Here is an 11,995-nt window from a genome sequence, read left to right on the forward strand (position 1 = left end):
TGTGTGTGTTTATGTAAGGTTCATAAACAAATGACTCTGAAACATACCAGGTAGGTCCTTGGTTTTCCCACAGTTCTCACATCCGAGTGAGCCTCCTGGGGCCACTGCTGGGTTGCCCTAACTCAGAACTCCAGATCTATGGCTCGCCACCTTCGTACATGTCAGCTTCACCTGAGTAGCTTGAGCAACCCCATGTGGGTGGGGGCTTGGCCCCAGATGGACGTTCTGGTTCCAGAGGTCTGAACAGCCACTGGGGAGGTGGGTTCTGAAATCCTCTGCGGGAGAAGCTGAGCTGTATCCAGGAACTGCATGAGATACCGAGAAGACAGGCCCAGAAGGCTGTTTCTTCATTTCCTGCCAACCAATCCTGGGTCCTTCCAGGCTCAGCTCAGCATCATCTCCTCTGGGGAGCCTCTCCCGCCTAAGGGGGTCCCAAGCACGTGGCCCCATAATGGCTGAGTCCTCCAGGGGCTGGGCCGGATCTGCACCATCTTTATCCACTGGCTCCTGGCAGGACCCCTAGGTCAGCACATAACTTCCACCACGCCAGAGCAGCATCAACAACACTGCACCCTCGCCATCCTGCACCCCAAACCTCTCCTCCTGAGGCGTTCCTTGTCTTGGTAAAAGCCACCACCAAACCTTCCCAAAGGGGGCTCTTAATGGCTCCCAAACCCGCTCCCCTCATCGCACCAGCCCTAGTGCAGGCAGCCCCACCCCTCTGCTTGGACCCTCGCTGGCCTCTTAGTCTCTCCCGTACCACCGCACTGACACTCCCACCCTGACTCCTCCTTGTCTCGGAGAATACACGACCAGCCAGGACCCCTCTCCAGCCACAGGCCTGGCCCTGCCCACACTGCCCTCTGTCATCCAGTGTAAGGGGCCCTGCCCTCACACACCGTTTCACACCCCTGTGCTCGCTCAAGTCCCCTCAACTCCTACTCTGCTTTTAACCATCCCCTCGGCTGTCACTGACTCCAGGAAGCCCTCTCAGGCCTCCCAGGCCCTGTATGCCCAGACATGGCTATGACACCCTTTGTCCTCCCTCCCTCCACCATAAGCCTTCAAGGGCAGGAGCTATGTTGTCTGTCAATTCTCAGGGCCTGGCTGTGTCTGGAACACAGAGGAGCTTGAAATCTGCCTGATGAAATGAACAGACTTCTGTCTCCAAATGACATTGGGAGGATACACAGGTCTCCCCCCATCCCATCTGTGTCCAGCTGTCCAGTGAGGCCCCGCATCCAGAGGTGGGGTGAGCATGCCCCCAGTGCCTTCTGGCCCGGGCTCTGCTGTCCTGTCTTTGAGCTCTCTCTCAGTCCCCGTCCCAGGACAGCTGTGAGGTCGGGAGGAGGCTATGGAGCCAGGCAGACCACCTCCCGGCTGTATGGTCTGGGCAAGACCCCCACTGGCCTCTCTGGTCTGAGGACTTGAGGCAGGCAAGGCCTGGCCGGGCACTCCCTTCCACTGGCCAGTGCCCTTCATTCATGGCACGCACCAGCCATGAGAAGAACTCTCGGGCGCAGGTGTGGACAAGCAGAAGCGGCTTGCAGGGCCACACAAGGGAGGGGTAGGAACCCTCACGAGGGGAAAGGCCTGGCTTGGGGTTTACAGAAAGGGCCTCCCCCATCATGTCGTTTCTTTAAATGTGAATGTAGCTGGCTTCAAACAAAATCTCAGTGGGCGCTGCCAGCTCGGGTTCACTCTGCCAGAAAAGACTAAATGTTTTTTGAAGATCCTGAGGAATGGAGGAGGAAAGCCCAATCTACTTTACATGTTTAATTTGCAGCAAAGTCACCGAGAAGCACGCCGAATCTACCCCAAATGACATCAAATAGTTCCAAAGGTCCACCCGCCCACTCAGCTCTCCAATGGACGTGACTGCAGACACAGGTGCAGTTCGTAGCCCTCGAGCAGGCTGCGTTGTTGGTGGGGGTGGGTCGGCTAAGCGCATACTTTGGTAAGTCTGCAAAATCCCCACCCCACCTCCCCAGGCCAGCCCAGCCAAACCCTTCCACACGGGAACAGCTGATAAGCAGCCACAGAATGTCTCAATTCAAGGCCTCAGTGATGAATGGACTGCAGATGAGGCTTCTGACTTTGCAAAAAAAAACTGTACTTTATCACTCCCAAAGCCTGCCCTTGGCTGGAAACAGATGTTCCAAACCCCGTCCGCTCCGCAGCTGCAGCGTGCCTGCTTCCGGAGCCGCTTGTCTGTCTTCAGGGCCGGCATCTGCCGAGGGCCTTGGCTTTCTGGGAAGAGTCTATGTCTAAAAGTCATGGTCGTCCGAGTTCAGTTATATAATGTTATTGATCCCGGTTGGTTTGCTTAAGAAAAACACAACTAATTAGACTCTATAAAAACCTACACACCAAATTAATTCTGTATTGCTCTAGTGACTTCCGCCTGAAAAAAACGTTATAAATATAGATGACCACTGGACCTATATTTAGCCAGCACTGGATTACCTGGTATTTATAATTAAGGAAGTCCAGAAAGAGAGAGAGAGAATGGACATTTTGTTGTTATTTCTTAAAGCATTTTTTAAAAACTGCTTCCCATTTCAGTCACATATACACATAGCAACATTCTGTTATTGCAATAATTACAATCCTGACCCAAGTTAAGATGATTGCACAATTTCCCAGTCTCCTAAAATTACTTTCTTCAACACATATCCACCCAAACTATGCAATTAAGCTGTTCAACATCCTAAAAATTCCTGAGAAATCATTAATTCTTACTTAGCAAACTTCATTTTTCTCTTCCCTTAAGTCGCCAAACCAAATGGTCCGGCTTCGGATGAGAACGTTTAATTTCTACATGTGGTCTCGGCCTATATTTTCAAGGTCTACAAAAAGCTACCTGAAAAAACTACAATCCTGACTTTGAAGATCTCCATTTTAAATCATTTCCTGGTTGCAGGTTTCTTTACGGCTGTCTGGAATTAGTTGTTTTACCGGATTCCTAAATCCAATGCCTCTTGAGTATTCATTTTTGTTTTGTTTTGTTTTAATTTTAAGATAAGCTGTAAAACTCTTCTTTTTCCTGAAAAATTCCAGTCTAAAGTCATCATATGGGGAAGAACATGGTGTGTGTGGGGTGGGAAGATCCGGGGTGGCCCAGAACAAGGCACTGCTGCAACTCAGAAGGTGAGGAGGGCGCTCACATGGGGGAACGTGGAATCGAGCCCGTGGGGCTACGGGTGGGAACAGGCTACTCCAGATGTCAGTCCAGGCAGATAACCAGGCTGCCCACTCAGGGAAAGTGAAGACACAGGACATGGCAGATTGGTTACCCACAGAGCACAGATGGAACATGTTACTACATTAGGGGCCCTTACAACTGATAAAGACCGGTGGAATTCCCCGGTGTCCATGGCTGTGCTGCACGGCTCTGCAGACACAGTCCTTGTTTATGCAAAGGACACACTGGAGCACTGGGGCTGGCGGGGCCGGGGTCACCAGGTTCTCTGCGCTGGGTCAGTTGAGCTTTGCCCTGTGCATTCAATTTTTCTGTAAGTTTGTGATTGTTTCAAAAAATTGTAAAAGAAATTTTTAATTGTAATAAAACAAGGTAACCAGACCTTTTAGCCCCTTTCCCAAATAAAGCTTAAAGAATGTATGGTCTAAACTGAAGACAAAACTCTTTCTCTAACCCCATGCTGAGAAGCGGCGACAGACTGCTTCTCAGAGCTGCCCCATTCCTTCCTCCCATCAAAGGAGGGCCCGTGGGATCCAGGAATTATTTTGTAAAAGAGACAGAAAATGAGGTGTATTTCAAGGGCAGGTGACCTCTGGGGTAGGGAGGCTGCTTGAGGCCTGGCCCTGCCCCATGTGCCCAGGGCCCATACCTCACCCCCAGGCAGAGCACACGCCCCTGCTCCCCGCAGGCTGCCCCTGTGCAGCTGATGTGTTAGTGGGAATGGATTTGAGCCACATCTCCCTGCTGCTCGCTAACTTCCCTGTGCCATGTTTGGCCTCTCTAGTTGGGTGAGGTACCCCCGATGCCCACAGGGCCCAGCCTGGGACCCCATGTCAGGGAGGAGGTGAGCCTGCGGAGGCTCCAGGAACCCAGAACTGCGAGATCTCCTGAACTCTTCCAGAGAAGCCAGCATTTGGATCCGACATGCGCTCTCCCGAGTTTTTAATAATGGCAACTCATTGTACATGTTACCACCACTGTGTAGCCTGCCTAACACATGCCTGCAGGCTACAGGCAGCCTGTCGCCTGGAAAGTGGGGATCGAGACATTTGGTTGAGACTTTCCCAACTTGAGGAGGCCCACTGTTTACTTTTTTCTTTCTGAGTATGCGAGAAGTAGGGGGTGCCTTATCCTCAAGAAAGTCTCATCTAGAGAATTTGCCAGGGGAGAGAGGCTCCGGTACGAGTCCAGGTCTACTCTCAGCATAGGGCAGCTCTGCTCGTGAAGAGTGGACTGTGTCTGTGACCTTGAGCACCAAAGGCTGTGCACAGCACACCTGGGCACGCTGCTTACATCATGGATCAGAGAACAAACTACACTGAGCACCCAAGGCAGTCAGGGGGAGCCCGTCTGGCTCCTGCCAGGCCCCCTCCTGGACTCCCCAGAAAGAAGGGTCAGTGCTGGGCTGCAGCTCATGGCTACTTGGCCAAGGGAGGTCATGTTGGAGGAGGCTACAAGGTTTTTAAAAATAAGATTTTGTCTTTATGAAAGACATGTTGGAAATTCACATTTTAATACCTAAAACACCATCACTTGAGAGCAAGTTATCCCAAGGGAAATCAAAAGGAATTCTAGAAAAATTAATCTTCAAATTTTCACTTAAAAATATATACCTCCTGTACCCGAAGATGTGAAAACGGGGTTCTGAACAAATATCTGCATACCCGTGTTCACAGCAGCATTTTCCACAAAAGCCAAGGGGTGGGAGCAACCCAGGTGTCTGTGGCTGGTTGAGTGGATCGACAAAACCTGGCAGGGACACACGATGGAATATGGCTCAGCCTGAAAAAGGGAGGAAACTCTGATGCATGCTACAACACAGATGAGCCTGGAGGACGCTGTGCTCAGTGAAATGAGCCAGGCACTAAGGACGAATACTGAACGATTCTCCCTGTATGCGGTACCTGGAATGGCCAAATTCATAGAGACAGAATGTGGTTGCCAGGGGCTGTGGGGGAGGGAGGAGTGGGGAGTTGGTGTGTAAAGGGTACAGAGTTTCAGGCCAGGCACAGTGGCTTCTGCCTGTAATTCCAGCACTTTGGGAGGCCGAGGCAGGTGGACAGATCACATGAGGTCAGGAGTTAGAGACCAGCCTGGCCAACAGCGTGAAACCCCGCCTCTACCAAAAATACAAAAATTAGCCGGGTATGGTGGCGTGCACCTGTAATCCCAGCTATTTGGGAGGCTGAGGCAGGAGAATCGCTTGAACCCAGGAGGCGGAGGTTGCAGTGAGCCAAGATCACACCACTGCAGTCCAGCCTGGGCAACAGAGTGAGACTCCATCTCAAAAAATGAATGAATGAATGAATGAATGAATGAATGAATAAATAAATAAATAAAAGGGTACAGAGTTTCAGTCTGAGAAAATAAAAAAGTTCTGGAGATGGACAGTGGTGATGGTTGCATAACAACGTGAAAATACTAAATGCCCCAAACTATACACTTACAAACAGGTAAGATGATATATTTTCTATTATGTGTATTTGACCACAGCAAACAAACAAACAAACAAAAAACTCTCCTCTGCATTCTGTCCCCACCTTTCCCACCTCTCTTGTGTCACTCAGGATGCTGGGACTATGGCTCCAGTGTACCAGCAGCATCTGGAGGCCTGAGAGGGAGAAGGCATAGCCGACCCCAAGGCACAGCCAAGCACGGCAGTGCTGCCCAGCTGTTATTATTAACAGCTCTTAGCTCCGGAAAGCGCTTCCCATCCTTGGCCCCTCTCTATTGTGTGGTTTCCCTTAAAGGGAACAAGGACACAGGAAGGAGGTGGCAATCATCTCAGGGACGGCCAGAGTCACCTGACCGGGACTGACAGTCATGGGTGGTGAGAGTGTCAGCCAAACACCATGCAAGCTCAGCTTCCTTTTATCCTGGAGCCTATCCCAAATGATGGCTTCAAAGGCCTGCTGACCAGGTGGCACAGTGACCAAGCTCCTATGCTGCTGGCCTTGTGACAGCTTGCCCTGCTGAGGTCGGCAGCTCCCAGTGCATGAAGATACAGAAAGCTTTCATCCAGCTGCATCAATGCCCCAACTCAATCACACCAATTAAAACCAGGCACAGAGAAACATGCACTGTCATTCTGCTTCTGTGACTCAACCCCACGCTGGTAATTAAAAATGAAGAAGCTACTGATGAGGCAGCTGTCATGACTTCACCAAAATACAACTGAGGGACATCCTTTCCCGGTTGCAAAGCATATCTTGGCTTGTAAACTAAAAATAGACTTTGTGCAATTTTCATATGGCTCTTTAAAAATGGCATTTGGGATTTCTCCGGCAAGCTGTATGCTAAGAAGTCAGGGGACCAGGTCCCAGCCCATCTCTGCACCCTTGCTGGCCACAGTTTCTACTCTATCGGGGAGGCACTACATTGCCTTTTCTCTCCATCCCATTTGCACTAACATCTGTGGCTTATGGAATATTTGCCAATAAATGATTTCAACAGAACTTGCATACTCAAAGTAAAACTTCAGCAGCACTAATTTACAGATGAGAAGTAATTGCTTGGAAGGAGGGTAAGAGAAGACAGATCATCCTACTCCAGGGATGGAAGGACGGATGGTCCCCTCCACGTGCTGATTCACGTAACAGCAGCTTATCAACAGGGACTTGGTGAAGACCCACCCACAGTGACGAGACTCTGTGCAGTCACCGTCTGTGCGTTTATCAATAGTGACGCCCACCCTGACTCCTGGGCTGCTCCAACCGTTCCTTCCTCTTCTGTCTGGAACCCTTGTCCTTGTTTTCTCAAGCCACTGCAGGTCTCCAGAGGCGTCTGTCCATTCCCTCATTCCTTCCCTCAACAAATATCTGGGCAGCTGCTCGAGCCAGGTATTTTAGACATGAGGGACCCAGAAGGGCCCACATGGGCCCAGGGCCTGGATCCAGGGGAGAGGCTGACAGGAGCGAGCATGACACAGCAAGATGAAGGAGGCACATAGGAAACCGCTTTGCCTACCGGGCTCTCAGAGGGCATAACAAGGAACGGCAATCTGCCAGATGCACCCCTGGATAAAAACAGGGACCCACATTCTTAGAAGCTGGAGTCCTAGCAGTGGAGGGAACATCTTCTCTACTCGTCTTTCGAGGCAAGATGGAGCCGGGGAGAGAAAGGGGGAATACACAAGGTGAGGGTCAAAGGGAGGCAAGGAGGTAGCAATGAAGGGACCCCAGGCCTTGCCTTGCATGACCAAGGACACTCCAGAGGGAGTATCAAGATCTCAGCTTGGGCTGGGCACAGTGGCTCATGCCTGTAATCCCAGCACTTTGGGAGGCCAAGCAGATCACCTGGGGTCGGGATTTCGAGACTAGCCTGGCCAACATGGTGAAACCCCGTCTCTACCAAAAATATAAAAAATTAGCTGGGTGTGGTGGTGCACACCTGTAATCCCAGCTACTTGGGAGGCTGAGGCAGGAGAATCACTTGAACCAGGAGGCGGAGGTTGCAGTGAGCCAAGATCGTGCCACCGCACTCCAGCCTGAGCAACAGAGTGAGATTCCATCTCAAAAATAAATAAATAAATAAAAATAAATAAATAAATAAAAATCTCAACTCAGCAGTTGAGGTCTTGGGCCTTGGAGCCAAGGACTACCCAGATCTGAATCCCAACTCCTCTGTTTAAGTGAAAAGGATCTCTGAGCAAGTTCCTAAATTTCTCTTCAGCTTCCCTTTCCATGCATTGGGATTAGCAGCATTTCCTTGCCCAAGGTTTCTAGGGGGATAAATGAGGCGTGATGCATATGGAATGCTCGGCTCACGGCCTGGCACACAGAGAGCAGCCCCAGCCTCCCAGGGCGCAGGCTGGTCAGCTGGGTTTTTTCATAGTATTTCTTAAAGAAAAGAACAAGGATGCAGCTCCCTTTGTGGGGGGAAGTGCATTGCAATAAAGCTAGTTGCAAAGTTAGAGAAATCCCATTTGCCCTTTGATTTCAATTCTTAAAAATATATAGAGTGCTTCTTTATCAGTGGCCCCTGTGGGGAAGATAATCCCACCTAGACGGAGCCATACAGGGCCAAGGTGAACAGTACAGGGTGCAGGGCAGAGGGGAGCCGAGGAGCTGTGCCGGGGACAGCCCACACACAGGCAGCCCTGGCCACCCCTCTGGGTGTGCAATACCATTCGTGTCTGGCAATCCATTTTCTTGAAACTAACTTATTTCTTATCCATAAAATGAGCCTGCGCTATCTGTCCAATTCCAGACTGAAACATTTTTTAAGTCCAAAACTTCTGATTTTGTAAAACACATTCTGGCCTTATGTCATCTCTTATGCTCACATTCCATCTGATGTTTGCTTACCCCCTACCAGCGCTGACATCTGGTGTCTGCAATACCCTCACAGATGGTTGCCCGTGGTACGTCCCTCCAGAGGTGGAGCTGGGTCCAGCCACGTTTTAGGTGGCTTGCAACAACATGGTCAGACACATTCGTCCTGCTCTCTCAGAGGTCTCCATGGCTGTTCTACTCATGCTGGGCTATCAGGCAAGACACAGTAAAGACCTATGTGACTGCCATGTGCACTATCTCAGCAAACAACCAGCAAGTTCACCCAACTATTTCTAGGTTGGTGGGCACAGGTCGTGGTGATAGGGACGTGAAACCCAACTCCAGTGCTGTGTGTTCGCTTTGCCCCAGTGGGTTTGAGTCTCTGCAGCAGACAGCGCACATGTTGAAAGGGGTTTCCGCAAGGCTTTGAGCTGAGGCATAAACCCAAATGCCGTAGAGACCCGAGCTGGGCAATGTGGCCCGGGCTATACACAGTCACTGGACCCCCGGGCTGTACACAGTCACTGGACCCCCACAGGACCCGGCTTCTTAGGAGGGCCCTTGGTACAGACTCCAGCAAGGCTCCTGACTGTTGTTTGCTCACCATTTACAGACCATCGTCTGTCTCCAGGGACTGTGCCTCACTCTCCCTTTCACCATGTGTATCTTCTCCAGCGCAAACAGACCCCAGCACCCGAAGCGCGACTGACGGTCCCAAAGGCTCCACATACCCAGCAGATTGGCTCCTCGCTCCTTCCGAAGACTCCCACTCTGCTCTGTTTCTCCCCAGCGGCAACCACAGACACAAACTCTGTCAATCATTCACGCTCTCTGCGACGCGTCTAATTACTCACAATGCCACCTCTCTAACCTCTTTCTTGAATCCAGGCTAAATTTAGCAGTTTTGGGTATACCTCTGTCAGCTTCTACCTAATTCCTTCACATCCATCTCACTTGGAAAAAACAAACTGCCTTCCATTTCATTTAACCACCCCGACATCCCGCAAGCATGCTGGATGGGCCTGGATTTTACTACTGACAGCTGTAGGACTGTGGTTCACGAGCCACGTGTTCAGAGAGAAGTGGCGTGTGTGTAGCTTCTCTCAGCCAAGGGAGAAAGGCTTCCGGACAGAAGAGAAACCCTCTCCAGGCCACCTCTCCTCTCCCAGCCTCACTGCTAGCTCCGCCCACTGAGCCCTTGGGAATCCCTATTATATACAAACATCTATTTTGAAGCCAAAACAAGGGAGAAACTCCTCTGCACCTTTGGTGCTTCCTCACACACCCTTGGCTTAGCTGAAAGCCCCTACGTGCCTGCACAGGGAATCATGTGTGTGCTGGCTTCCTCCATCCTGTTGCCCAGCTGTAAGTGTCCAGGCTCTCCCTTTTACTTCCTAGAAACATCCTGGTTGCACAATAAATTCTGTGGCCACAGTAATCCTACCAGGAAAGGACAAATCCAGGCCCACCCAGTTCTCCCGGCTTGCTCCGCGTCTCCTCTCCCTAAGTCCACATCACCTGCTGCCACCATTCCCGTCCCCCCACCCTAAGTCCACACCACCCGCTGCCACCGTTCCCGTCCCCCCACCCTAAGTCCACACCACCAGCTGCCACCATTCCCGTCCCCCCCACCATTCCTCACTGCACTATCATTGGGCTCCCCCTCCTCCATCACCATTGTGCCACGCCTCCCAGGTAACTGACTCTGCTGACACCCTGAATCCTGCCCTGTCCCCTCCATCCCAGCAACTATGAACACAGCTCCAGCTGGGCCCCTCACCAACACCCCTCCCTCACCCTGATGCCTCCCACCCATGGTGACCTTGGTGGTTCCTGGTCCTCCATCCATGCGCCTGCCACCGGGTCCTCCAACACCCTCAGTCCCTTTAGGCAGCTGTTTCAACCACGTTCTCCTTAGAACCCTAGACAGCCCACGCCCCCACCTTCTGAAACATTTTTAAGTCGCAAACTTCTGATGTTATAAAATGAGTTCAGGCGTTACATCATCTCTTAGATTCACAGGTCTGTAAAGAAAAATTCACCTCGAGGGAGAGAGATGTGCGTTAGGTTCTGTGAAATTCCATCTGATGTTTGCCACCCACTATCCCAGGCCCCACACTGAACTGAGGGCCTCCTCCCCACACAGCCACATGGCCACCACTATGCCCCTATGAACCGTCACACAGGTCCCTCTCCTGCCCAGGAAGACCCCCCACGATGGCCTGGGCCTACCCAACCCCACCCCTCCGTGTCCTCCTCTCTGTGGGCTCTCTCTCATCTCCCCTCAGAAGACTCTCTCCTGCCCCTCTTCTAAAGAGGGGTCTTTCCCAGGGCCTCTGGTCCCTGCCCCAGCCTTTTCCTGCCCTCTGGCCCTCTTTCGAGATGCCACACCATTCCCTGGCCTTCCTTCACCAGTATTATGCTGTCCCCTCTACCCAGGCCCCCTGCCTACCTCCATCAAGCCAAATCTTCCTCACCCTCCAGGGCCAGCCCAAACACCTGCTCCTCCTACATAAGCTCCCTGATTCCAGGGGCCATAAGGGACAGGGGTAGCAGAGGGTCACCTAGACAAAAAGCCAATGGCAGTGGAAAGGGTCTGAGCCACTCTGTCAAGAGGTGTAATCCAGCAGACTTAGAACTCCACGCCCAACAACAGAGAATAACATTTCTCTCTAGAGACACACAACGTTTTCAAAGACTGAGCCCAGTACCAGGACTTCAAGCACACCCCCCAAATGTCTAAGAACTGATTTCCAAGAAAGCATAGTCTTTGGCTGTAATGCAATTAAGCTGGAGGTCAACAGGGCAAAGAAAGACTAAACATGTCACACATTTGGAAATTCACAAACACATGTTTATATAACTCATGGTAAAAGAAAACATCATAATTGGGATAAAAAAATACTTAGAATGGAATGATAATGAAAATACTATTTAGGACAACTCATGGGAACTGTGGACATGACCCCGGGAAAGATGTGTGTAACCTGAGGTGTTCGTGGTAAGAGAAATGCTGAAAATTCATGGGATTAAGCATCAAACTAAAAAGTTAAAAGAAAAAAAAATGAGAAGAAGGTAATACAATTAGGACCAGAACTCTGTAAAAGTAGAAAACAAATTTACAATAGAATTTAAAAGGCCAAATGCAGTTCTTTAAAAATCTGGCAATATAGCCAAACCCATGGCACCACTGATAAAGAAAAAAATTAAGGCGCAAACGAATAAATAACATGATAAGTGGAAAAAGGATGTAACCGCAGATCAAGCAGAGGTTTAAAAACAATAAGGAAACACTACCAATGCCGTTACACTCATAATTCTGAAAACACAGACCACATTAAAAAATTCCTAGAAAATTGTAATTTATGAAACCACTAACTAAAAAACAAATACAGGACTTGTCAAACTTTCCACTAAAGAAACTGAAACAGTGCTTAAACACCCATCTCTCTCACACAGAACAGGCCTAGACAGTTTCACAGGTAAGCTGTACCAAAATTTCAAGGTATAGATCATCCCA

At 50.4% G+C, this 11,995-nt stretch overlaps 1 protein-coding gene across 7 annotated transcripts in view, besides 3 other annotated features; it reads right to left on the reverse strand.

Moving 5' to 3' along the window:
* The window catches only part of PCSK6 (proprotein convertase subtilisin/kexin type 6), a 185,775-nt gene that overhangs the window by 145,524 nt on the left and 28,256 nt on the right, over nt 1-11,995 (reverse strand). The gene's annotated exons all lie outside the window — the stretch shown is intronic.
* Nucleotides 1,558-2,291: an enhancer, noted in NCBI's record as "H3K27ac-H3K4me1 hESC enhancer chr15:101991219-101991952 (GRCh37/hg19 assembly coordinates)". NCBI's record gives its function as "activates a minimal SCP1, AML or CMV promoter by ChIP-STARR-seq in naive H9 embryonic stem cells {active_cell/tissue: H9 hESC(naive)}" and the evidence as "EXISTENCE:reporter gene assay evidence [ECO:0000049][PMID:30033119]".
* Nucleotides 3,308-3,602: an enhancer, noted in NCBI's record as "tiled region #2389; K562 Activating non-DNase unmatched - State 5:Enh". NCBI's record gives its function as "activates a minimal TATA promoter and a strong SV40 promoter by Sharpr-MPRA in K562 cells {active_cell/tissue: K562}" and the evidence as "EXISTENCE:reporter gene assay evidence [ECO:0000049][PMID:27701403]".
* Nucleotides 7,135-7,338: a silencer, noted in NCBI's record as "fragment chr15:101996796-101996999 (GRCh37/hg19 assembly coordinates)". NCBI's record gives its function as "represses an EF-1alpha promoter that drives an FKBP-Casp9 reporter gene in an ReSE screen in K562 erythroleukemia cells {active_cell/tissue: K562}" and the evidence as "EXISTENCE:reporter gene assay evidence [ECO:0000049][PMID:32094911]".

This window comes from Homo sapiens, chromosome 15, assembly GCF_000001405.40.
Source record: "Homo sapiens chromosome 15, GRCh38.p14 Primary Assembly".
NCBI lineage: Eukaryota > Metazoa > Chordata > Mammalia > Primates > Hominidae > Homo > Homo sapiens.